Source organism: Homo sapiens, chromosome 14 (genome assembly GCF_000001405.40).
Source record: "Homo sapiens chromosome 14, GRCh38.p14 Primary Assembly".
NCBI classification, from domain to species: domain Eukaryota; kingdom Metazoa; phylum Chordata; class Mammalia; order Primates; family Hominidae; genus Homo; species Homo sapiens.
The window spans coordinates 54840384-54868275 of record NC_000014.9 but is presented as its reverse complement, the minus strand read 5'-3'; the positions used below and the strand labels follow the sequence as shown (position 1 = coordinate 54868275).

General features: G+C 40.8%; 1 protein-coding gene and 1 pseudogene across 7 annotated transcripts in view; one reads left to right on the top strand and one right to left on the bottom strand.

Annotated features, from left to right (window-relative positions):
• Positions 1-26259, top strand: part of GCH1 (GTP cyclohydrolase 1) — a 60810-nt gene extending 34551 nt beyond the window's left edge. For 2 of the 7 annotated variants that reach the window (NM_000161.3, NM_001424105.1), the window contains exons 2-6: positions 2840-2949; positions 8540-8595; positions 21146-21177; positions 22424-22508; positions 24133-26259. In NM_000161.3, coding sequence (NP_000152.1) covers positions 2840-2949; positions 8540-8595; positions 21146-21177; positions 22424-22508; positions 24133-24259 — 410 coding nt within the window. In that variant the 3' untranslated portion in view covers positions 24260-26259. Of the gene's footprint in view, positions 1-2839; positions 2950-8539; positions 8596-11508; positions 11537-21145; positions 21178-22423; positions 22509-24132 lie in introns of those variants that run through there. The other 5 variants (NM_001024070.2, NM_001024024.2, NM_001024071.2 and 2 more) reach the window with 5 other exon arrangements.
• Positions 8946-9061, bottom strand: RNU6ATAC9P (RNA, U6atac small nuclear 9, pseudogene; annotated as a pseudogene).

The following is a 27892-nucleotide window of genomic DNA, read 5'->3' as shown; positions in this document are numbered from 1 at the left end:
CTGGCTAATTTTTTTCTTATTTTTTGTGGAGATGGGATATTGCAGTGTTACCTAGGCTGGTCTCAGAATGCTGGGCTCAAGTGATCCTCCCACCTTGCCCTACCAAAGTGCTGGGATTACAGGTGTGAGCCACTGTGCCTGGCCTGATGCTTTCTAAGAGTACTTGTTTAGATATTTTGTGTCCCTAGATTTGTCTGATGATTAGGCTGCAGTTATGGATTTTTGGGAAGAATACCGCAGAGGTGATGTGCCCTTCTCATGGTGTCCTATCAGGAGCTACCTGATGTCAGTATGTCCTGTTACTGGCAAAGTTAACCTTAATCATTTGGTTAAGGTAGCCTCTGCCAGGTTTCTCCACCAAGTTACTATTTTTCCTTTTCTGTACTCTGTTAAGGCAAATTATTGCTTTTTAAATTTTGATGTACCTCAATATGCATGGGAGATACATAGCTTTGCAGCTCCCTCAATCTTAATTGTAATAATAATAGTAATAACAATAACTAGCACTTGCTCCGCCTGCATAGTTCTAAACACATGTGCCCATTTAATCCTCATGACACCCTGTGAAGCAGGCACTTTATGCTCATTTTATAGCCGAGAAGACTGAGGTACAGAGTACCTTGCCCAAGGCCTAATAACTAGTAAGTGATGGAGCCAGATCTTTTTTTTTTTTTTTTTTTTTTTTTGAGACGGAGTCTTGTTCTCTCTTGCCCAGGCTAGAGTACAGTGACATGATCTCGGCTCACTGCAGCCTCCACATCCCGGGTTCAAGCAATTCTCCTGTCTCAGCCCCCCGAGTAGCTGGGACTACAGGCATGCACCACCACGCCTGGCTTATTTTTGTATTTTCAGTAGAGACAGGGTTTGACCATGTTGGCCAGGCTGGTCTCAAACACCTGACCTCAGGTGATCCACCTACCTCTGCCTCCCAGAGTGCTGGGATTACAGGCATGAGCCACTGCACCCAGCCTGGAGCCAGCTCTTCACTTCGCCTGAGTTGAAGGGCTGACTTTAACATGGGCCATATGGTTGTCGTCAGAGCTTAGGATGGGGACGCTCTCATTCTTTGCCAGAGAAAACAAATGCTTCCTATATTTAATGCTTCTCTCTTGTTTTTTCTTTAAGACATTTTTTTGGTTTGTTTTTCCTTCCAGGAATATATCTTGTGTGACTAAAGATTTTAGTAAGCTATATGTGGCAATCATACCATATTAAAATCTTGGGGAGAAATCCAAGAAACTTTTGGAAACATTAAGGATCTATTTTTGGTCTTCTTTTCAGAAATAAGACTGAAGGTAGGGCAGAATATTCAGCATAGAAAAGTGCTGTGGTAGAAGAAATACTCAGTGAGTGACACTGCGCCTTTTTCTCCTGGGATGTTATCAGCCACTTCTACCAGGGGTGTCTCTGTTTGTCTGTATGTGTCTAACCCTGCCATGTTCGCCTTTCTTGACCACACTAATGACTTTTCTATGACACAGTCAAATGTATCTCTGAATAGCCTGACTTGGGGTAATAACTGTGGTTTACGTGATGACTTGGTCTCTGTGAGCCCCCTATTCTAGTAGCAGTGGAGCCACTGAAGGTCAGGCAGTGTGGGTGGACATTTGTCCATCTTCCTGTGACTCACTCAGCCGCCTGCCTTTCTGAGGGGAAAGAGCTGCAGGTGCAAAGCTCTAATACATCCCTTCCCTTCTCTGTCTAATTCTATTATGTATATTGCATATCCCCCAAATCCTTGAAATTACTCAGCTACGTGTCTTATTATATCTAGTCTGCCAAGCTGTCTAGGTATCAGTACAGTTTTTTTCTATGTCTATATTTATTTTCCGAAAATGAAATCCTACTGTATTTCTTTGTAGCTTCTTTTCTCATTTGACAATATAGCTGAAGAAGTTTCCATGTCATATGGCATTTATCTACAATGTTGTTTGGGTACCTGCCTATTATCAATAGCTTGGCTATATTATGATTGGTGGGGAATGTGGCTTGTTTCCCTCTATCCCTCTTCAGCATCCAGGACAGGATGTTCTTGCAGTCACCGAATGTTAGGAAGCTCAGAGTGCTCTCAGGCATCATCTGATTAATCTTTTCTTTTGCACATAGCATAGTTGAGGATAAGTCAGTGCAATTTTTAAAAATAAAGCTTTTTTTTTTTTTAATGTCTATTGTATGTCTGGCTGGAAGTGCCAGGGTCCACAGCTTAAACAAGACACTGCTTATCTTCCAAAGCCTTCCCAGAGAGGCATATACACACAAACTGTAGGATTTATTTCCTTAGGAAGGCAACTGTTTAGAATAAGTCTGATGCTAGCCTACAATATATAGAACACTTTACAAATGTAGAAAATTACTTGGGGAATTGATAATAGAGGTCAGGTTTACAGGTGTCTGGATCTGGCCTCAGAAGTCAGAGGGCTAAGGATTAGTCTTTTTCTCAGATATGGTTTTCTACATATTGATTATAGACAAAATATAAAGTAGAAGAAAATGTAAGGAAGAAAGTGAAAGTGGCCCATTTCTACTGCCAGAAATAGCCACTGTTTTATTTTGGTATAATTTTTCCTTTCCTCCCTCCGTTCTCCTTCCTCTTCCATACTGCAAATATGTTCATAATCCTGCATTTTTCATGTAACACTGTATCAAGGATTTTTAAATGTTACTTACAGAAAAGGACTTTGCTACTTTGATAAGGAAAAATATCTAGTTTTAATTTGTATTCCCTTAATATTTTAGGGAGGATTAACGTTCGTTTATGTTGACTGTCTATTCATGTTTATCCATAATTCTACCTTTCTATAAAATTGGACATGTTACTAAAGCAAGCCTCTGATTTCAGATGTCCTAAACGATGCTATATTTGATGAAGATCATGATGAGATGGTGATTGTGAAGGACATAGACATGTTTTCCATGTGTGAGCATCACTTGGTTCCATTTGTTGGAAAGGTAAGGTTCTCTTTGTTGTTTCCCAGCAATTTAAAACATAGTGAAAGTTTTTCAATTAGAATAATTATATTTAAAATTTTTAGCTGCCAATTGCTGATATCTCAGGTATTTACAATTATACATATATGGTTATTCTTTATTAACCTGACTAATAACTTGAAACTTAAAAAACAAAACCAAAGTAGCAGAAGGCTCTCAGGATAAGCCTTTCATGTTAAATACCAGGTTCATAGGTTAAAATAATGAGGTTTAAGTAGCATCTCTCTCTCTCTTTTTTTTTTTTTGTAGCTACTACAGGCTCTGAAAACCTTTAACCTTTATTTATTTATTATTAGCATCCCAATCTAGAGATGCCCTTTATTTTAACTTGAATAATGTTTGATCCAAGATAGATATGTATGTATGGCATGTCATGAGCAACAATAATTGCAGAATTTCTTGTGACAGAGGTTATGGTATTTGTGGATTTGTTTCCATTCCTTTCTATATTAGGAAAAGTGAATCTAATGCATTAGATTCCTCAGCACCTCTGTGAATTTCTTTTGTCAGAAATGTTTAGTCCTAGTCTTATGAAACTTTAGATCTAATCTAGTTTACAGGAAATCCAGAGGCTGAATGGAACAAATCCAGAAGGTGGGGCACTCTGCTGAACAGCTGGCCTATTCTCTTTTCAATAGAGAATATTATGGGTGGGAGCACTATTTTAGGACAAAAGGGACTTAAGAGGTATAACCAAATGCAGTGTAAATACAAATGTGTGACTCTCCATTGGATTCCTGTTTAAACAAACCAAAAGTAAAACATTTGAGACAATTGGAGGAATTTAAATCTGAGTTAGTTATTAGATGTTGTCTAGGAATGACTACTTAACATACCTTTGAGAACATGTGGTATAGAACAAAGAGTTGTCCCATTTCCCTACCCCCATCATAATTTTATTTAATTTTGACTCTTTATTAATAATCTTTAAACAGAAGACTTACAAGAAGCAGTGTTATGAATACTTATATACCCATCAACTAAAGTTAAAGTGTTAACATTTGCTTCATTTTTGTCTTTGTTAAAGTATTGTATCTTTTCACTTTTTTATGGAAATAATATATAGATAGAAAATGCATAAAACTTAAGGGTGTTCCTTACCACTTCAGAGATCAAGAACTAGAATAGGCTGGCACGGTGGTTCATGCCTGTAATCCCAGCACTTTGGAAGGCTGAGGTAGGTGGATTGCTTGAACCCAGGAGTTCAAGACCAGCCTGGGCAACATGGTGAGACCCCATCTCTACCAAGATAAAAATAAAAATTACCTGGGCATGGTGGTGCATGCCTGTACTGCCAGCTACTCGGGAGGCTGAGATGGGAGGATGGCTTGAGTCCAAGAGGCAGGGGTTGCAGTGAGCCGAGATTGCGCCACTATATCCTAGCCTGGGCAACAGAGCCAGACTGCCAGACCCTGTCAAACAAACAAACAAACAAACAACAACGAAACCCCCACAACTACAATATGTGTAGCATCCTGGAAGCTCACCTCATTTCTTTTCTCTTCTTAATCCCTAATCCATCCTTTGTATCAGTTTATCAACTTATAACCCTATGGATTCGTTTTCTTGTTTTTCAACTATATGTAAGTGGAAAGATTCTACGATATGTACTCTTTGTGTCTGGCCTCTCTTGTTCTACATAGTCGGATTCATTGATGTCATTGCCTGTCATTGTAGTTTATTTTCATTGTTATATCTTATTCCATTGTACAAATATACCACAATTTATCTATTCTGCTCTTGGTGGACCTTTGTATTGTTGCCTCTTTTTTTTTTTTTTTTTTTTTTGCTATTACAAACAATACTGCTGTCAATACTTTTTTGGAGTACATGTGCATGCTTTTTTTTTTTTTTTTTTTTTTTTTTGAGACGGAGTCTCGCTCTGTCGCCCAGGCTAGATTGCAGTGGTGTGATCTCGGCTCACTGCAAGCTCCACCTCCCGGGTTCACGCCATTCTCTCACCTCAGCCTCCTGAGTAGCTGGGACTACAGGCGCCTGCCACCATGCTGGCTAATTTTGTTGTTGTATTTTTAGTAGAGAAGGGGTTTCACGGTGTTAGCCAGGATGGTCTTGATCTCCTGACCTCGTGATCCGCCCGCCTTGGCCTCCCAAAGTGCTGGGATTACAGGCGTGAGCCACCGCACCTGGCCCTAAAATATTTTCTTACTTATCCACAGCAGCACTATCACAAAATTAACAATAATTCTTAAATAGTGTCTAATAACGAATTCATATTTAAATTTCTCCAATTGTCTCAAATGTTTACTCTTGGTTTGTTTAAACAGGAATCCAAGGGAGAGTCACACATTTGTATTTACATTGCATTTGGTTATACCTGTTAAGTCCCTTTTGTTCTAAAATAGTGCTCCCACCCATAACATTCTCTACTGAAAAGAAAATAGGCCAGCTGTTCAGCAGAGTGCCCCACCTTCCAGATTTGTTTCCTTCAGCCTCTGGATTTCCTATAAACTAGATTAGATCTAAAGTTTCATAAGACTAGGGCTAAACATTTCTGATAAAAGTAGTTCGTAAGGGCTGGGCACGGTGGCTTACGTCAGTAATCTCAACACTTTGGGAGGCCAAGGCAGGTGGTGGATGTATCGCTTTGAGCTCAGGAGTTTGAGACCAACCTAGGCAACATGGTAAAACCCTGTCTCTACCAAAAAAAAAAAAACCAACCAAAAAAAAAAAAAACGAAAACCAATCAACCAAACAGACAAACAAAAAAACAGGCAAAAATTAGCTAGCATGGTGGCATGCACCTGTGGTCTCAGCTACTCGGGAGGGTGAGGTTGGAGAATCGCTTGAACCCAGGAGGTCGAGGCTGCAGTGAGCCGAGATCACACCACTGCACTCCAGCCTGGCAAGAGAGTGAATCCGTGTCCAAAAAAAAAAAAAAAAAAAAAAAGAGTAGTGCTTCATAAGGGTGCTGAAGACTTCATATTATATCACATCAGGGCCGAGTGAGGTGGCTCATGCCTGTAATCCCAGCGACTTGGGAAGTCAAGGTGGGAGGATAGCTTCAGGTCAATAGTTCAAGACCAGCAAGTGAGACTGTCTCTACCACAAAATAAATTTTTTTTTAAAATTAATTGGGCATGGTGGGTGCATACCTGTAGTCCTAGCTACTTTTTGGGAGTCTGAGGCAGGAAGATTGCTTGAGCTCAGGAGTTTCAGGTTACAGTGAACTATGATCATGCCACTGTACCCCAACCTGGGTGACAGAACAAGACCTTGTCTCTAAAAAGAAAAGAAGAGAAAGCAATCAGAAAACCCAGATACATCACATCAGAAGCCATATCGTATCTGGAAATCCTGCAATTGATAATGAAGGAATCTTTGAAAGGGAATCTATTGGTGAGCAAATTAGGCACAGAAAGCCTGTGACTTGTTCAAGAGGATAGAGAGAGTTAGTGGCTTGGCTGCAGCCAGATCCAAGGCACTGATTCTGTACTCAGCCTGTCACCATTTTATCCTGTTACTTTCTGCTATTACTTCCTCAGTGTTTGTGTTTTTGCTACCTTTGTTTTAAAAATATATTATTTAGTGATTTTTTTTTTTTTTTTGAGACAGTTTCGCTCTTGTTGCCTAGGCTGGAGTGCAGTGGTGCGATCTCGGCTCACTGCAACCTCCGCCTCCCAGGTTCAAGCAATTCTTCTGCTTCAGCCTCTCGAATAGCTGGGATTACAGGCACCCGCCACCACGCCTGGCTAATTTTTGTATTTTTAGTAGAGATGGGGTCTCACCATGTTGGCCAGGCTGGTCTTGAACTCCTGACCTCAGGCAATCCACCCAAAATGTTGGAATTACAGGTGTGAGCCACCACTCCTGGCCTATCTAGTGATTTTGTGAAATGGACATTTAAATTACCTAGGATCTTAAGACCAAAAATAGTATAAACAATGAACAAATTCCGTGTCTGCATGGAAATGTAAAAATTTCAGACAGCATAGAAGACCTTGGTTCATGGGAAAGTTTTAACTCTCTAATTTTTCTTTGAAATCCTCAATGTTCAGGTGCTATTTTACTTTTTCCTCCTGCCAACCAGGAAGGCAATGAGGTGGACTTCTCAAATTCCTAAAGCATAGTGCCAATGGATGGGGGAAAAAATCACTAAGTACTACTAGATCAATTATGTAAATAGTAAGTGAACAATGAAAACAGTGTTAGCAAACCATGATGCCGTTGAGTCTCTAATTTTATATTCGGTTAATTAATTGCCTACAAGTGACCATTTACTCTATTAATCTTTTCAGAGAACTAATGTTTTTCGTATGTAGTATTTGGCCCCAAAAGAGTAACTTTTATATTTGATATTAATTGGTGCCATTTAAGATAACAGAAATGGCCTGGCTGTATATTGGGTCCTTTAAAACTTAGTTCTTAGGGTGCAGGTTCTTGCCAAGCCATGGTGGTAGCAGTGCCCTTTTTCTCCAGTTAGGAAGATGGGGCCGGGCGTGGTGGCTCACGCCTGTAATCCCAACTCTTTGGGAGGCCGAGGCGGGCAGATCACAAGGTCAGGAGATCGAAACCATCCTGGCTAACACGGTGAAACACCATCTCTACTAAAAATACAAAAATTAGCTGGGTGTGGTGGCAGGCGCCTGTAGTCCCGGCTACTCAGGAGGCTAAGGCAGGGGAATTGCTTGAACCTTGGAGGCGGAGCTTGCAGTGAGCCAAGACTGGGCCACTGTACTCCAGCCTGGGCGACAGAGTGAGACTCCATCTCAAAAAAAAAAAAAAAAAAAAGGAAGATGGTGCACTCTCTAGCAGCTTAGAAACCAGGAAGCCAAGCACAAAAGGGTGTGGAGACCTTCTGTGCTGCAGGGCTTTGCGGTGGGATCTTAAGGCTGTGAGGTGGGATCTTAAGGCTGCTGTGATGTGTGGAATGGCAATACTTATGCTTACAGTTTTTGCCATTTAAAGGAGGCTTTCCTGTATACATTTTAGTGTTGCTATGAGATCATTTGCCTTTCCTTGAGAATGTTTCTCCTCCATAAAGAAGAAACTTTCAGATTTGTGTCAAGAGTTCAACTTCACAGGTAAGTGTCAGGGCCATGCAATTGACTCTTGAACAACATGAATTTGAACTGCATGGGTCCACTTAGACATGGCTCTTTTTCAAGCAAACACTGATCAAAAATTCTACAGTATTTGCAGGATACAAAACCTGTATAGATGGAGGGGCAACTTTTCATATATGCAGGTTCTGCAGGGCCGACTGCGGGACTTGAGTATGCAGGATTTGGGTATACACAGGGGTCCTGGAAGCAATCTCCCGCATTTACCAACGGACAACTGTACAAGTTTGTTATTTGATTAATAGACTCATACTTATATATTTTGCTTTTACTGCATTTATGTAATTTTAAAAATACATATATAAATGTTTCATTTTCTAAGTCTTAACAGTTCCAGATGTTTTCAAGGTAATACATTGTCGTGATAAATTACATAAAAGTGTACTATATTCTTTCTATATTTCCTTATTTTGTCACAAAGAAGGCACTGTATTTTCACTCAGCTAATGATTTCCGTCTCTTCTCTGAAGGTCCATATTGGTTATCTTCCTAACAAGCAAGTCCTTGGCCTCAGCAAACTTGCGAGGTAAGTGTGACTGTGCAGTGAACAAGAATACAGGTTTATAGGACCTGCCCTCATCTGCTGAGAATCTATCTCATCAGGCTTTCTCTCTTTACCTGTATGGATCTAACTTGGAAGTCATATTGCAACTTAAAGACTTGGAGGGTCTGAAACACAGATGCCCCTTCCTTCTCGTCCCCTACTGCCTGCTTCCTCTTCCACTTCCCACCCTTTCTTCCATAGATACATACATCCTGGAAGTCTCAGCCCACCTCTTTCTCTGCAGAGCCTTCTCTGACTGGAGAGGTCCTGAGCTTACCTTCAGTCCAGCCCCATCCTTTAAGGGGGGTTTAGCTAACAGTGAGGGGTTGGGGAAGAAGCTGGGCAGGGGTCTAGCTGCAGTGCTCTGCTGTCGAACTTGTTGTCAGGCCTGAGGACTCTTCTATCCTTGTCAAGGGGAGTGCTCACCTTCTTTGCTTTCATACAACACTGCTTTCAGACTTGTAATGAAACTTCCCTGTGGGATCCCCAGCCTCAACCCTGCCTTGCTCTGCACTGGATGCCTCCAGGCATATCTCAGGGGTCCTGCAGGCCAGTCCGTTCATGTCTAGGTTCTTTGTTTCTGCAAACACAAGACTGCCTGCCTTGGCTTTGCACAGCTTTATTCTGATACAGTGTTCACGCTCCTCGCTCTCATTTCTCTTTCCTGCTACAATCTTCTTTTCTGTTGTTTATCCTGTGGGTTCATGCCTTAAAAAATTCCCTTACTGCCTTTTTTATTTGGGTTTTAGGAGAGGTGATGTACATACACGTTCATCTGTGTTTAACTGGAAGTCAACATGGGGGTTTGTGTTCAGATATCTCTGGTAGGCCCCAGCCACCAATATTTTATTGCCCTTAAATATCCTTGTTGTTTCTTCGTATAAAGTTAGTGAATTTTGAGTGATGGAGGAAATACTGGGAGGTGTGTGTGTGTGTGGAGAGAGAGAGAAAGTTAAGAACAAGATGAAGGGGTCGGGTAAAGTGTTCCTACTCTTTTTTTTTTTCAAAAATAATCAAGCTAAGTTTGAATAACTTGAGGTTATAGTGACCATATCATAATTGAAATAAATGAGTCTCGGCCGGGTGCCGTCTTTCACACTTGTAATCCCAGCACTTTGGGAGGCTGAGGCGGGCGGATCACTTGAGGTCAGGAGTTTGAGACCAGCCTCACCAACATGGTGAAACCCCATCTCTACTAAAAATACAAAGATTAGCTGGGCGTGGTGGCGCACACCTGTAATCCCAGCTAATCAGGAGGCTGAGGCAGGAGAATTACTTGAACCCGGGAGGCAGAGCTTGCAGTGAGCCGAGATTGTGCCATTGCACTCCAGCCTGGGCGATGGAGTAAGACCCTATCTCAAAAAAATAAAAATAAAAGAAGAGGAATAAATGAGTCTCTGTGACCAGTTGACTGTGCTGTGGCTCTGATGTGTTCCTGTTTCTTTATGCAGGCCCTGGGATTTAACACAGTTGTGAAATGGTGGTCCTGATATTTCTCAATTCTGTGTTGGAATCTGTAAAAAAAAAACTACTCCAGCAATCTGACAACTGCCCTCTAAAGTTGTTCCTGTTACTTTGTTTTCACTTCCACTTTCTCATTCATTTCCTCTGGGGATCAATAAGAAAGTGGGTAGAAGAGACAAATTTAACTTCCCCAGTTTCTGACCTCATTCCTGCTCAGCTATTTTGCTATTAGATAGGGCTGCTTGGCACCATGAAAGAATATTATATCATAGCTGTAATTGCTTCACTGGAATAAGGCTCTTAGCACAAATCCAGAAACATTCTGGCTGCTTGCGTGTGATCCATCCCTGGTGGCAGTGCTGAAAAGTTGCTGAGAAAAAGTGTGTTGGTAGTGATTGGGAGTAATTAATCTTACTATAATTTTTATTAACGACTCCCTTCCCAGTAACTTACCCTCAACTAATGATGTATTAAACCAATTTCATGTCAACTGTGAGTAAAAGTATCTTTACTAAAATTGGTTATTCTTATGGTTTTATAATATACAGTCTAAGTAAAATCAGCATGCTTACTGTGCAAACATAGCTGTAGGCCCAGTCCCCTGGGCCTCCCTGTCAGCAAGATTGCTAACCCTATACCTTGCCCATATAGAAATTCCAGCACTGCTGATGCCTATAACAGACTGTCCATATGTGAAAGGTGTAATGGATAGTTTCATAGTGTAAAAAAGCTTGGCAGATCACATTAGGCCTTGGTCTTAATGTAACAGCCTTCTCTGAAAAACCAACTGTTGATCATGATTAACACTTTATGGGAAATGGACTCTTGAGTGATTCAGTGAGATCATACAATAAATGGCAACCTGGTGGTAGAAGGAAATAATCTTAGTTATTTCCTTTCCAAGTGAAAGGAAAAGATCTCAAATAATTAAGCTTTTATGAAACAATACAAAGGAGTTGATTATTAGCATGGGGATTTGTCCTTAGACTAATAGGATTAAAATTTAAGAATAAAATGGAACATGAAGCCAAAGAACCAAGTGTATGTTGCTTTCAAATATTTTGCAAAAAATTTGAATAAAGAGTCTATTAAATAGAAAAGAAGACTAAGATTTTATCCAACTACTTATTCCTTATAAGAAGTAAGAATATTTAGAGAATGAAGAGGAATAAAAGCTGAATGTCTTAGCAAAACTTCACTGCTCATTTTAATCTTATATATGAAGTTTGTTATATGCTTGCCTTTAAATGAATGACCTTTCAGTGCCAGTGAAGTCAAATATCAAGCAGTAAAGCCTTAAGTAACAAGAAAATGCCAGAAGTGAGTTGATCTGGCTCAACTCTAGTAGAATTCTAGAATAAACTTAGTTTGAATAGAACTTTCTTTTGTTGCTGAAAAGCCATTGAACATGTATTCATTTTCTTCCCTTAGAAATAACTGAGCCTCGGCTGGGTGAGGTGGCTCATGCCTGTAATCTCAGCACTTTGGGAGGCCGAGGTGGGCAGATCACTTGAGGTCAGGAGTTCCAGACCAGCCTGGCCAACATGGTGAAACCCCATCTCTACTAAAAATACCAAAATTAGCAGGGCATGGTAGCATGCGCCTGTAATCCCAGCTACTTCGGAGGCTGAGATGGAAGAATCGCTTGAACCTGGGAGGCGGAGGTTGCAGTGAGCCGAGATTTCACCACTGCACTCCAGTCTCGTGACAGAGCAAGACTCTGTGTCACTAAAAATAAATAAATAAATAAATAATTGAGTGAATGTACGAAATCTTGAATTTAGAGTTGTAGTATCTCAGGTAGCCATGGCTGACCTGTTGGGTGGGCACTGTGCCAGCTACTGTGGAGGCTAAAGAAGCAGGACATGGCAGCCACCCTCAAGGAGAGTGCACAGGGCAAGACTGCAAGTGCCATGGAAATGCCTGCTGTAGCTCCAAGTTCAGAGGAGCCATGATGGCTGTGGCCTGGCAGGTGAATAGACCTGGAGGTGGAGGGATGAGCAGAATTCTAAATGGGGGAGAAGTTTCTCTAGGTATAGTTAATGCATGAGCAAAGACCAGTCAGAGGGTAGGAGCAAGGCCTATTCCAGTGGATGGGAACCAGATTGACTGATGGAAGTAAGAGTAAGTGAGGTGAGTATTAGATTACAGAGGGAGCAGTATTTTTTTTTCTTTTTTGACTATAAAAGCAACATACCATTTAAATACAAATGAGTGAATAAAGTGAAAACTTTTCTTACCTATTTTCATTCCCCAGAGTTAGAACTAGAGATTTCTTTCACTATCCTTCTGGAAAATATTTATGCAAGCACAAACATAAGATCATATCTTATATTCTGTACTACAACTTGCTTTTTAAAATTTTATTTTATTTGGTGTTTTTTTGAGATGGAGTCTTGCTTTGTCGGCCAGGCTGGAGTGCAGTGGTGCGATTTTGGCTCACTGCAACCTCTGCCTCCTGGGTTCAAGTGATTCTCCTGCCTCAGCCTCCCCAGTAGCTGGGATTACTGATGTGCACCACCATGCCTGGCTAATTTTTGTATTTTCAGTAAAGACAGGGTTTCTCCATGTTGGCCAAGCTGGCCTCGAACTCCTGGCCTCAAGTGATCAGCCTGCCTTGGCCTCCCAAATGCTGGGATTACAGGCATGAGTCACTGCACCCGGCCAGCTTTTTTTTTTTTTTTTTTTTTTTTGAGACAGGGTCTTTCTCTGTCGCCCAGGCTGGAGTGCAGTGGCACTATCTGGGCTCACTGCAGCCTCCACCTCCTGGGTTCAAGCGATTCTCCTGCCTCAGCCTCCTGAGTAGCTGGGATTACAGGCGTGTACCACCACGCATAGCTAATTTTTGTATTTTTAGTAGAGATGGGGTTTCAACATGTTGGCAAGACTGGTCTTGAACTCCTAACCTCAGGTGATCTGCTCACCCCAGCCTCCCAAAGTGCTGGGATTACGGGAGTGAGCCACCGCGCCTGGCCCTGGCCAGCTTTTTAAAAATTTAAAATACCTTGAAGTTCTTTGGACATCTTTTAGTCCAAAAAGTCCAAGTTTCTTTTCATAGCTACCTAATATTTCTTTGATTAATACAATTCATTTAACCAGTATTTGCTATAGATAAGTACAGTTTGCAGTTTGAGACTTGCCAAAAAGTAAAAAAGTACCCTGGTGAACAAATTTTATTATCTTTGTGTGCTTTGAATCTATCTGAAGTTTAAATTACTAGTATGGAACTTGATGGGTAAAGGGTAGCCGAATTTTTGATATTATGAAATTGCTCTCCAAAGAGACCATGCCAGTTTATACTCTAATAAATAGATACATAGGTAAGGGGTGGTGTATGTTTCTCCACACTTCGGCCAACACACTTTTCATCACACTTTTAAATCTTTGCCAAACTGATAAGTAAAAAATAGTATCTATTTTAATTTGCATTTCCTTAATAGAGCGAGGTTGAATCTATTCAGACACTTCCTGTTCTTAGCTCCAGTATTAATTTTTCCACTGAGTTATTTGTCTTTTTATTCTTGGTTTGCACAAGCTCTGAATGTTAAAGCAGTCAGGTCAGGTGCTACAGACAATGCTTCCCAGCTCGTCATTTGTCTTTTGATTTTGCTTTATAGTATTATATTTCCATAAAGAAGTTTAAAACTTTTCTGTAGTTCACAAACTTCTTTTTTTTTTGGTACTTGTATGGCCACATTATTATATTTAAATCTTTGCTCCATCTGGAGTGTATTTTGGGGTGAGGAGTGAGGCAGAACCCATCCACTGCTGCGTGTGCTCACTGCCCGGCAGGTGCAGCACCCCCACTTCCTGCCTTCCTGCCCTCCCTGCTGCAGGTCTTTGCTGGGCCTTTCTTATCTTCCTCCTGGAGGGAATGTTAAGCTCCTGCCTCCTCCCTGCCTCTCATCTCTGAGGATCCTTCAGTTTGCCCTCATGAGCTGCTGGGATGTTCTTTCTAAAGTGTGGATTGGATCATGCTGCTCCTTTGGTGGCTCACCACAGCTTTTCAGTTAAAGTCCAAACTCCTTATTTAGAATAATTTAGAAAAAGCCAAAGAACAGAAATCACAAATCTACAAGTTGAAAATCTTGTATCATAGGTTGCTGGGGAGTCTGATATCTAGGAATGAGACGATATGTAACTAAAAATATGCTTTATAAATCTTTACATCTTGATGAATACGTTTTTTAAAAAGATGGGGAGAGAAAGGAATGGACCAAGAGTTTGAAAGCCTGCATACATTAATAACCATTAGAAAAGGTCAAATTAATGATTTGGGGGAAAGTGCCTGGACCCAGTCAGTTTTATAAGTGTTCTTTCAAGCTTTCAAGTAACCACAAATTTTGCATGTGTATAAATAATTCAAGAGCGTAGAGAAACCTGTGAAGTGTCAATTAATTTGATGAAGCTGCCTATTCTTGATAACAAAGCCTGATAAGCCTAGCATTAAAAAAAAAAAATGATAGGCAAATCTCACTGATTAATGTAGTTGTAAGAATCTTAAAATGTCAGGCTAGTATAGAAGTACTGTTTTCAACATGACCCAGGGATGTTTAGTCCAAGAATGTAAGAATGGTTTAGATTAAAACTGACAACTACTGATGCTGGGTGTGGTGAACTAGATTAATAATGCCCCTCTTGGCACAGCGTATCAAGATATAATGCATATGTACATTTTACACTTTCGGGAAAGCATGAGGCAATTCTAGTGAGAATCCACTGGAATTAGCACTAAAGCCACAGTCTGGATTCTGTCCTCCCTTTTCCCATCCCAAATCAAGGACGATACTTACCTATTAGCATTATTCTAGGAAGAGCAGGAAAAAGAAAAAGGAACTCATAGACACATTCATAAAGTTTGGGATCAGAATTAGTACTACCTGTGTGGCCTTCAAAAAATCAAATGGAATAATTTAGTTTCAAACGACCCCATAAGGCCAGGCATGGTGGATCATGCCTATAATCTCAGCACTTTGGGAGGCCAAGGCAGGTGGGTCACCTGAGGTCAGCAGTTTGAGACCAGCCTGACCAGCATGGTGAAACCCCATCTCTACTAAAAATACAAAAATTAGCTGGGCATGGTGGCACACGCCTGTAGTCCCAGCTACTCAGGAGGCTGAGGCAGGAGAATTGCTTGAACCCGGGAGGTAGAGGTTGCAGTGAGCTGAGATCGCACCATTGCACTCCAGCCTGGGCAAGAGCAAAAACTCTGTCTCAAAAATAAATAAATAAAAATAAATAAAACATCCCCATAGAGGTATCCTTGCAGGCAGCTAGCAGAAACTAGTGCATGTTCTCTGATGCACTTTTATCCAGGCTTGGAAGGATACCCAAAGATGAAGTTCCAAGGAGTACCATGAGTCGAGTCAGACAAACACGATGGAAGAGGGCAGATAGTAGAACTATCAGAGATAGGATATAAAACAAGTACAGTAAGTCCTCACTTTACGTTGTCGATGGGTTCTTGGAGACTGCAACTTGAAGCGAAATGACTTCAGGCAAAGTGGCATATAACAGTCCTGGAATAATGTTGTTTCATTCAATGTCATTTCAGTATGATTGAGAAAAAAAAATTCCTTGCTGGGACCCACTGTCTGTGTGGAGTTTGCATGTTTTCTCCCACATCTGTGAGTTTCCTCCAGGTGCTTCTGTTTCCTCCCACATCCCAAAGATGCACACGTTAGGTGATTTGGCGTATCTGATCTGAGTGGTCCCAGTCTGAGTGAGAGTAGGTGGATGTGTGTGCCCTGTGATGGGATAGTGTCCTGTCCAGGGTCAGTTCCTGCCTTGTACCCTGAACTGCTGGGAAAAGCTCCAGCCACTTGAGACCTTGAACTGGAATAATTGGGGAAATCAATATCTTTCCATTAATCTTTCTTAAATGTATGTATCACTCACATTTATTTTAGTGTTTAATATTAGAAGTGTTTTTGTGTTTATTTGGAAGTTTGTTGACGTTTTTGTGACCAGAAATATGCTATGGGAGCTTAATTCTTATTATATCAATTAGCCTAGGGTAAAATTTGTTTTGTTCTCAGTGTTTTAGTAAAGTCATAGATTCCGAGAACCTGTCGACCTTGAGCAAGGACTTACTATATATTAAAAAATAGGCTGGGTGCAGTGGCTCACGCCTGTAATCTCAGCACTTTGGGAGGCCAAGGCGGGCAGATCACCTGAGGTCAGTAGTTCGAGACCAGCCTGGCCAACATGGTGAAACACCATCTCTACTAAAAATACAAAAATTACTATTGTGAGTAGTGCTGCAATAAACATATGTGTGCATGTGTCTTTATAGCAGCATGATTTATAATCCTTTGGTTATATACCCAGTAATGGGATGGCTGGGTCAAATGGTATTTCTAGTTCTAGATCCCTGAGGAATCGCCACACCGTCTTCCACAATGGTTGAACTAGTTTACAGTCCCACCAACAGTGTAAAAGTGTTCCTATTTCTCCACATCCTCTCCAGCACCTGTTGTTTCCTGACTTTTTAATGATTGCCATTCTAACTGGTGTGAGATGGTATCTCATTGTGGTTTTGATTTGCATTTCTCTGATGGCCAGTGATGAGGAGCATTTTTTCGTGTGTCTGTTGGCTGCATAAATGTCTTCTTTTGAGAAGTGTCTGTTCATATCCTTCACCCACTTTTTGATGGGGTTGTTTGATATTTTCTTGTAAATTTGTTAAAGTTCTTTGTAGATTCTGGATATTAGCCCTTTGTCAGATGGGTAGATCATAAAAATTTTCTCCCATTCTGTAGGTTGCCTGTTCACTGTGATGGTAGTTTCTTTTGCTGTGCAGAAGCTCTTTAGTTTAATTAGATCCCATTTGTCAATTTTGGCTTTTGTTGCCATTGCTTTTGGTGTTTTAGTCATGAAGTCCTTGCCCATGCCTATGTCCTGAATGGTATTGTCTAGGTTTTCTTCTAGGGTTTTTATGGTTTTAGGTCTAACATTTAAGTGTTTAATCCATCTGGAATTAATTTTTGTATAAGGTGTAAGGAAGGGATCCAGTTTCAGCTTTCTACATATGGCTAGGCAGTTTTCCCAGCACCATTTATGTTTTCCCCATTTCTTGTTTTTGTCATGTTTGTCAAAGATCAGATGGCTGTAGATGTGTGGTATTATTTCTGAGGGCTCTGTTCTGTTCCATTGGTCTATATCTCTGTTTTGGTACCAGCACCATGCTGTTTTGGTTACTGTAGCCTTGTAGTATAGTTTGAAGTCAGGTAGCGTGATGCCTCCAGCACATGCACACGTATGTTTATTGTGGCACTATTCACAATAGCAAAGACTTGGAACCAACCCAAATGTCCATCAGTGATAGACTGGATTAAGAAAATGTGGCACTTATACACCATGGAATACTATGCAGCCATAACAAAAGATGAGTTCATGTCCTTTGTAGGGACATGGATGAAGCTGGAAACCATCATTCTGAGCAAACTATCGCAAGGACAGAAAACCAAACCCTGCATGTTCTCACTCATAGGTGACAATTGAACAATGAGAACACTTGGACACAGGGTAGGAAACACACACCGGGGCCTGTCGTGGGGAGCAGGGAGGGATAGCATTAGGAGATATACCTAATGTAAATGATGAGTTAACGAGTGCAGCACACCAACGTGGCACTTACATACATATGTAACAAACCTGCACGTTGTGCACATGTACCCTAGAACTTAAAGTATAATAATAATTAAAAAAAAAAACAAATTAGCTGGATGTGGTGGCGGGTGCCGCTAATCCCAGCTACTTGGGAGGCTGAGGCAGGAGAAATGCTTGAACCTGGGAGGCAGAGGTTGCAGTGAGCTGAGATTGTGCCATTGCACTCCAGCCTGGGTGACAAGAGGGAGACTCTGTCTCGGGGGAAAAAAAAAAAAAAAAAAAGAACCTACTTATATATAAAAAAATTGACAAAGGAGATCGGGCGTGGTGGCTCACACCTTTAATCCCAGCACTTTGGGAGGCCAAGGCAGGCGGATCATGAGGTCAGGAGTTCAAGACCGGCCTGGCCAACATGGTGAAACCCTGTCTCTACTAAAAATACAAAAATTAGCTGGGTGTGGTGGCAGGCACCTGTAATCGCAGCTACTTGGGAACCTGAGGTAGAGAATTGCTTGAATGCGGGAGGTGGAGGTTCCAATGAGCTAAGATTGTGCTGCTGCACTCCAGCCTGGGCAACAGAGCAAGACTCCGTGCCAAAAAACAAACAAAAAAAAATTGACAAAGGGATAAGAAACTTGCAGAATTAGCCAGGCAGATTGGGAAGAGGAGGAAATATAACTTTTAGAAATTAAAAAAATGAAACTGAAGTCCAGTATACTCATTAAATAGATTAGACATAGATTAAATACGGTGATTGGGAAGAAAGGTCTAAAGAAATTGTGCTGAATGCAGCGCAAAGACAGGTAGAAAATATGAATGAGAATTTAAGAAACATGGAAGACTGGGAGGGTATAATATGCCCTTAATTGAAATTCCTGGAGATAACAGAGGCAATGTGCTAGATGCAACGTTAGAGAAGATAATGGCTAAAAAAGTTTCTAGAACACATGCAAAATATCGGTCTTCAGAAAGCCTAATAAATTCCAAATAAGTCAAATTAAATCCCTACTTGGATTAAAACATAGTAAATTGCAGTATATACTTATAAAATATAGTTAATATAAAAGCAGCCAAAGAAAGAAATATCGATTATCTAAAAGGCAACAGCAGTTACACTGAATTGGTTTGCCAACAGCAATACTGAAGGGCAAGATAGATATCAGTGTCAAACTAGAATTCGGTTCCCAGCAAATACCTCTCAACAAATTATCTTTCCAGAATGACAGCAAAATAAAGATTTTTTTTTTTAATCTAGGGAAGCTACATGACATGCTGAAAAGATGTGTTAGGTTTCATATTTACTCCTCACTTGTAAAAGAAAACTAATAAACTAGGGTTTAGAAATAATAAGCTCTCAGAGCACAGAGAGCATGTTCACCATATAATCACATACATAGCAGGCACTCAGTAAAAATCTATGGGAATGTTCCTCCTGCCATGAGAGCAGCTGTCTGCCAGAAGCAGGCAGGCACTGTGGGTGGTAGTGAAATCCTAGAGGCATTCCTATTGAAGTGTGGAGCAAAACATGGTTGCCCAGTGTTACCACTATTGTCCAATGTGGCACCTGAAGTTCTACTCCAGAAAAAGAATGGTGAATACGAGAAGGAAAACATTACTAACTTTAAAATCAATGGCATCTCCTACATATATAACAAACTAATCACCTGAAAAACTATCAGAAGTAATATATACAGAAATTTGACCTAGTAAGAAATATGACATACCTCCTATCTAGGAGCTTAAAAACCATTCCTTTCTAAGGTTTTGTTCAAAATACCAATAGAATATAGCTATTAATATATTTCTTCAATATCCTAGTAACTACTGCTGGGATAAAGGAGAGCTAGGATGGCTTCTGCCCTCAGGGAGCTCTGGGCTGAGTGGTAAACGGGGTGGCGGACCTGTTACTGACTTTGTTGGCTGTAATGGGTATAAAGGAGCAAGTTGTTGGTTCTGAGACGTGTAGTTGGGGGAAGAGCCAGGAAATGCCTCATAGGGAGGTGAACCATAAATTGAATCTGAATTCATGATCAAAAGGCCATGAATTTAAAGAAAAGGTCCTCAGTGTGAATAGTCATCTTCAAATGGATAAGTCACGTGGTCATCTTTATATTTCATAAATAGAATGAAAGATGTTGAAAGGGGAAAATTCTGGCTGGGCACAGGGGCTCACGCCTGTAATCCTAGCATTTTGGGAGACTGTGGTGGGCAGATCACGAGGTCAGAAGTTCGAGACCAGCCTGGCCAACATGGTGAAACCCTGTCTCTACTAAAAATACAAAAATTAGCCGAGCATGGTGACGGGTGCCTATAGTCCCAGCTACTCAGGAAGCTGAGGCAGGAGAATCGCTTGAACCCAGGAGGCAGAGGTTGCAGTGAGCTGAGATCATGCCATTGCACTCCAGCCTGGATGGCAAGAACAAGACTCCATCTCAAAAAAAAAAAAAAAAAGAGGAAAATTTATCACTTGACAGATTGTGCTATAAGTTAAGATCAGGAGGCTTTTATTTCTTGGGGGTTAATCTTACTAAGTGCTTACATAAACCTATCTTATGAAGAGGTGTCTGAAGAAGTCTAATCAGTTCCAATCTGATTCTCCTAATAGGTTTAGTTGGTATAGTAGTTGACCGTGGTGTGCTATTAATTAACAAAGTCTTTTTATTTTTAACTTGAATTTTAAGCTCTGATAAAACAATATGATTAATCAGAGCACTTGAGACATGATCTAAAATTGATGATTTGGAACTTTAAAATTTTGTTACTCATCTCTGTTTTTCCTAAGTGAACGTCACAGTTGGAGACTCATTAATTCTCTTTCTGGGGACATCAGGAAGCACCACTCTGCAGTGGTTGGTGGTCTTCTGTATTAGTAAGGGTTCCCTAGAGGGACAGAACTAATAGGAGATATATATATATATATAAAGGGGAGTTTATTAAGTATTGACTTACATGATCGCAGGGTCCCACAATAGGCTGTCTGCAAGCTTGAGGAGCAAGGAGAGCCAGTCTGAGTCTCAAAACTGAAGAACTTGGAGTTCGATGTTTGAGGGCAGGAAGCAGCCAGCATTGGAGAAAGATGTAGGCTGGGAGTCAAGGCCACTCTTGCCTTTTCATATATTTCTGCCTGCTTTGTATTCGCTGGCAGCTGATGAGATTGTGCCCACCCAGATTAAGTGTGGGTCTGCCTTTCCCAGCCCACTGACTCAAATGTTAATCTCCTTTGGCAACACCCTCACAGGCATACCCAGGAACAATACTTTGCATCCTTCAATCCAATCAAGTTGACTTTAGACTACATCTCCCTGTGGTACTTGTATCTTTCTGTCATCTTGCCATAAGCTTTATTTCCTCTTGCAGCCCACTTGCTTCAACAATGTCCTTTTTGTTTTATGAGGAAGGCTTATCAATTTTACTTCAAATGATTTGTGATTAACTAAAACAATTCTTTCTTTTCTAGGATTGTAGAAATCTATAGTAGAAGACTACAAGGTAAGCTTTAAAAATCTGTATTAACAGAAAACATTTTTCTTTTTTTTCTTTTTTTAAATTTTTATTTTTGAGACAGAGTCTTGCTCTGTCACCCAGGCTGGAGTGCAGTGGTGCAATCTCGGCTCACTGCAGCCTCAGCCTTCCAAGTAGCTGAGATTATAAGAGTGCATCACCATGCCTTGGCTAATTTTTGTATTTCTAGTAGAGACGGGGTTTCACCATATTGATCAGGCTGGTCTCGAACTTCCGACCTCAGGTGATCTGCCCACCTTGGCCTCCCAAAGTGCTGGGATTACAGGCATGAGCCACTGTGCCTGGCTACAGAAAACATTTTTCCTACACAAAAAGTATTTTTTGTTTTATTACTAGTGCGATAAGTATGACTTATAAAAATGTAAAACCTCTTAGGACTATAAAAAGTCTACTGTTTCAAGCTTCCAGAAGAAATCACTGTTGTATTTGCACATTCCTTCACATTTTCATGCATATACCTGCATTTTCAAATCAATTTATTTGGATTATGTTTAAACAAAAATGGGCTCATTTTATACATAATCAGCCTTGCTTTTTTCCCTGCTTTTTTTCATTTAACAAATCTTAAACATTTTTGCCACATCCATGTAACTATCTCATTCATTCTGGTGGCTGTCTAGAATCCTACCGTATATGCCATGGCTTGGCGTAACCTATACCAGCTCTGATAGATACTGGGGGGTTTCATCAGTTTTCAAATAGATGCAGTGCTGCAATGAATATTCCTGTATGAATTAAAAGACAAGTCATTTTATTCAGGACAGGAACTATATTATTTAGGTTAAATTGTTGGTTTTCAACATTGCTCTAAGCACAATTCAATAATTGGACTGCAGCCCCTTTGTTAACCCTGTTGCAGGCTATTTATTTGCTGCACTACTTTACCTCCATGGAGGTGCTTGGTAACCAGTACTGTGTTGTTCTAACTGCACAGGTATGAGATAATTGCTATTCTAATTCCTTCCCGCAGTGATGCTGGAGGGCTTCAGGGTGTTCTGAGATCTCTTTAGCCCTGTACTTCAGGTGAGGGAGTTGAATCCGGGCCTCTCTGTGGCCCAGTCAGCAGACAAAGCAGTCTGGTAAAAGCTGGTGTGTCTTGGCTCTTAAATCTCACAGAAGTCTGATTTTTAAGATTTCAAATGTTCTAGAGACAGAAAAAGCTTCCAGCTGTTTGTGTCAGACTCTCAAACTGAGCTCCTTATCACATCCACAGTTCAGGAGCGCCTTACAAAACAAATTGCTGTAGCAATCACGGAAGCCTTGCGGCCTGCTGGAGTCGGGGTAGTGGTTGAAGCAACGTAAGTCTGCATCTGCCTTTAGTAACGTCATAATGGTGCACTAGAAGTGATCTTGCTATTTAGTGCTTCTCATATTTTGTAGCACCAGGTGATGCCACACAACTGATATGATAACTGTAGATTTCCATCCCTGAGCCTAAAGCTCTTTTACCACTTTCATTTACTGTTACTGATATAGGAACAGAATATGGGAGAAGTATTTTTTGAGGGTAGGATGGGGCTTGTGGAGGCATAGGGAGTTAAAAGCACAGGTGTAGAGATTTGCATAATCAATAGCCTTTTTTTTTTTTGAGATGGAGCCTCACTCTGTCGCCCAGGCTGGAGTGCAGTGGTGCAATCTCGGCTCACTGCAACCTCCACCTCCCGGGTTCAAGCGATTCTCCTGCCTCAGCCTCCCGAGTAGCTGGGACCACAGGTGTGTGTCACCATGCCCGGCTAATTTTTGTATATTTAATAGAGATGGGGTTTCATCATGTCGGCCAGGCTGGTCTCGAACTCCTGACCTCATGATCCACCCGTCACGGCCTCCCAAAGTGCTAGGATTACAGGCGTGAGCCCCTGCGCCCAGCTCAATCGCCATTTTTTAAAAATGCTCAAGACAGGGTCTTGCTCTCTCACCCAGGCTGGAGTGCAATGGTGTGATCTTGGCTCACTGCAACCTCTGCCTCCCAGGTTCAAGCGATTCTCCTGCCTCAGCCTCCCAAATAGCTGGGATTACAGGTGCCCGCCACCACACCCAGCTAATTTTCGTATTTAGTAGAGATGGGATTTCACCATGTTGGCCAGGCTGGGGATCTCAAACTCCTGACCTCAAGTGATCTGCCCACCTCAGCCTCCCAAAATACTGAGATTACTGGCGTGAGCCACCACGCCAATAGCCATTTTTATGTCTTCTCTTGATTTTATGTCTTCTCTTGATTTCTTCTTTAGCTCTCTGTTGCTCCAAGCCGAGTTTTTCTAATATTTTGTCACACATTTAAAAAATAAAGCCAAGAATTGGTACATTTCTTTAAGTTAGGATGAGTTAAGAGAATTGCAGCTGTTGTGTGGACAAAGTTCATATGTGTTCTGTGACGTGGTGTGAACTCTGTTCTATGTCTGGTATCTAATGTCACCAGGTTGCTCAGACAGGATCTCTGGTCACCATTATCTGAATTCTGCCTGGTGACATCAGTATACTTGAGCATTTATCTGAACACCTAGGCTAGCATAGTGCTGTCTTGGTCCTGAAGGCAGAGCAAGTGAGAATTCTGACTTTCTTTTGATCTAGAAGTTAAGTAACTCTGTAGACCTTTTATATTACTTTCACCCCAGAAGAAAATTCCATTTTTCCCCTTTTTGGATGCTTTAAGGATCAACTACTGATAAAAATAAAAGTTGCAAGACAACTTCAAGAACAAAAAGTTTAGGTTGCTGCAAAGATAATTGCAGTTTTTGCCATTATGTTCAATAGCAAGAACCGCAGTTACTTTTGCATGAACCTAATAGATAACATTTGTGTAAGAAGGGATATTTCGATATACTTGGTAACTGTGAGCTGAGATTTAATCTTTAGGCCTGCTTTTAAAAACCAAACCAGCAGCTGTCTACTCCTTTAAACAACCTGTGTTGCCTTATTTTGTAGACACATGTGTATGGTAATGCGAGGTGTACAGAAAATGAACAGCAAAACTGTGACCAGCACAATGTTGGGTGTGTTCCGGGAGGATCCAAAGACTCGGGAAGAGTTCCTGACTCTCATTAGGAGCTGAGCTTCATTCAGTGTGTGTGCGTTGGTTGCCGATCGTACTGCCAGTAGCATTGTCTGTCTGTCCGGTCTTGTTTGTACATTCCATTTTCAATTGTTACAGATGTGAACTTTATTCCTTGTCACTAATTATATTTAAAATTATTTCTAGGAAGTCAAATAAATATAATAAAGGGTTGAGCCCTCTACTTTCTTCTTGCCACCTTTTTGTGGCAATATTAAAGTGAACTGCTAATAGTGTAAGTACGTGCACAAAACCACTGCCAGATAACCAGAGGGGCCTGGGAAGGGAGAAGAATTAGTGTATTTTTTTCAAATAGTACAGTAATTTGCCTCATAAGCATAGGAGCATTGGGAATGAGAGGGAACTGTGCCCAGTATACTGTTTTTTTTCTTCCTCCAATAAAAGTGGTGTAGTGCCGAAAGTGCTAAAATATTTAGTGCGGTATTGCTCTGTGAATTCAAGTTCAACAGACTTCACTTTGGTCATGTTTATTAAACCACCAGTGACATTTAAAAATATATTTTTAGCAGTCGTAATGTTAGTCACCAAGGGAAGGTGGTGGAATGTCTATGTTTTTGATTTTACTGTGAGTTAAAAAGGCACATTTCTACCTTCTATTGTTTTTAAATTCAAGAATAGGGAATTAGTTCCTGGTGTTGTTTACGAGTGTATTCTCGTGTCAACATACAGGGATTTAGACATTTAACTCTCTGTGCCTTGATAAGAATATCATTTAGAGTGTAGATACTTTTGCCTTTTTAAAAAAGCCATTATTTTATGAGACTTAGTACTCACACTGCAAATAACTAGTCAGCTCAGTTTTAACTTTATAGGTTTATTGAGTTTCCTTTGTGTGATCCATGTAGATGCCTCAAAATGTTTCTTCTTCTTCTTTTTTTTAATCTTATAAGATATTTTTCTAAGTATTTCCAGAAACATTTGAGAGTGCCCATCATTTTCAGGTCTGCAGAACCATAGCTTCCACGCACCTGAACGAGCACAGAATGAACTGACGGTGGAAGACATTATGAGCTGTGTCCAACGTTTTAACCAAAGCGTATCGTACCAACGATCTGTGAAAATGCACTGGAAGCTTCTGGTCCCGGTTTCCTTTGTGGTCTATGTGGGTCTTGTCCTCATTGTAACTCCGTATAGATGGTATAGGTATTTTAATCCTGGAAGCTGTTGCCTTATTAATGATTATCTTAAAATTTCCTCCATTGGGGCAGCGTGGGCCAAATTAAAACAAACAAAACCGCAACTCCTCCACAGAAACACAAACACAGTTATTCCATGAAGTTTAGTATTTGGTTGACATAGTGCTCTTCAAATTCATCCCATTACCCTAAAAGTAATAACTTTGATGCTTGCTTTAACTTTAGTCCCATCTCTGCCACTTTGATGCTATTTGGGTTATGATGGGGCAAGATGGCAGAGGTATTGGGTTTTTTTGTTTTTTTCCATTCCTCTCTACTTCTGTTTCCTAGCTTTTTCTTTCTGGAGTTTAAGTACAGTGATGGTTGGCTTGAGTACCTTTTTAAATCTAGCCCAGTATAAACATTAGCCTGCTTAATATTTAGACATTTATAGGTAGAATTCTGAGCACTCAACTCATGTTTGGCATTTTAAAGTAAAAACAAGTGTGACTTCGAGGACCAAAGAAATTGTCAGCTATACATTTATCTTTATGAACTCATTTATATTCCTTTTTAATGACTCGTTGTTCTAACATTTCCTAGAAGTGTTCTTATAAAGGTCTAATGTATCCACAGGCTGTTGTCTTATTAGTAAATGCAAAGTAATGACTTTGTCTGTTTTACTCTAGTCTTTAGTACTTCAAAATTACCTTTTCATATCCATGATCTTGAGTCCATTTGGGGGATTTTTAAGAATTTGATGTATTTCAATACACTGTTCAAAATTAAATTGTTTAATTTTATGTATGAGTATGTATGTTCCTGAAGGTGGTCCTATTTAAATTATTAAACTATTGTAACTTTGTTCTTGTGAAAGTTGTTTCTTTTTCAACCACCACTATAAATATTTAAATAACTTGATTATTTTGGCTGTATTCTGTTTCAGCAAAGACATCATAAGGGCTTCTCCCAGCCATCAAAGCTATTTGAATACTAATCTCCATTATAGTACGAAGTAACCCCAGGTTCTGACAGTTTCTCCTTGGTATTTGGTTGGAGTCTTACCGTCCTCACTGTCTTGAGGTAATGGGAGGAGGAGGTCTGGGATAAGAGTCAGGAATCTGAGTGGCCCTCATGTCCCTGTTGTCTTAATGCTTAGTAGGTAACTTCAGCCCCCTGGGAACTGGCACTGTTTCCTACGTGGGAGCTGTTGGGGAAGGAAGAGTAGGCTGGGGCAGGGAGTGGAAAAGGGTTTCCTTCCCTCTTCTAGGAAGAGCCTGCCCAGGGCAAAACTTCCAGTTAGTGCAAGGGGTTTTGTGCTGCTCTTCTGTCCCATGCCCAACAACCTCCTTTCCCTCTTGCTAATGGTCTCCTCCCCATTCCGTGCTGCCCACAGGCAGAGGCCGCCCCTGCCCTCACTGGTGGCCAGCATGTCCAAGTACTGGGGCCTGCTGCTCCTTGTGGGACCCTGTGGACCGTTGGGTAGCAAATCTTATCAAAGTAGGAATGCTTACTGGCATAAAACATTCCTAGAACCACCACTCATAGGTGTCAATAAAACGATGAGCTGCTCAGCTAAGCCCGAGTTGCTGCTTCTGAGTTTTGTCACCGAAGATTGATTGGCCAAGTTCCTTTTCACTTAGTGGAAGAGCAGTTGCAGACATGAAAGGTTTTCAAGAAGCCTTTCTGTCAAAACAGAGCACCTGGATTCATCATCACAGGCATGGGTCCTCCTGCTGATGGAGAGAAGAAGAAGTCTCAAGAGATCAAGGGGAAGTGTGAGTACCTGACTCCTCACCCTCCCAGAGGCCCTTGCCTTCTTTTAATTTTTGTTACAGAAAATGAAACATGCACATCAGTAGAGAGATGAGCACATGAACCCCTGTGTACTAATCACCCAGCTTCAAGAAGTCTCAACTCAATGGCGCCATCTTGTTTTCCTCTATACCCATCTGACCAGATTATTGCAAAGCAAATCCCAGGCATTATTTCATCCATAAATATTTCAGATTATCTAAATAAAGTGGAATCAGGTAAAGAAATATATGATCAAATACATCCATTATCACACTAAAAATTAGTGTCAATTCAAATATCTAGATTTTCCCCTACTGTTGTGTAGTTTTTAGTAGTTTATTTGAATCAAGGTACAAACGAGATCCACACATTGCAACAGGTTGATTTAAGTCTCTTAAGAATCTTATATGTTCTCTTTCCACTCCCTCCTCTGTTTTCCTTAAAATTTATCTGGTCACTTGTTTTGGAGAAGCCCCGTGTTTATTCCAGGAACTGTCTGGTTGCTGGAATGTCTGTGGCTGTCCAAATGAGGTCAAACTCCAGCTAAACAGGGAAAAGAAGGGTTCTTTGCCACAACACTTCTCCACGTCCCTAAACCCCTACTCCTGGGCAGCCTAGCTTGGTCTGGTTCTGTCTGGCTTTTAACTGGAACATAGCTCTCCTTGGCTTTGTAACTTAGAGCCATTCCCCAGGTACAGAA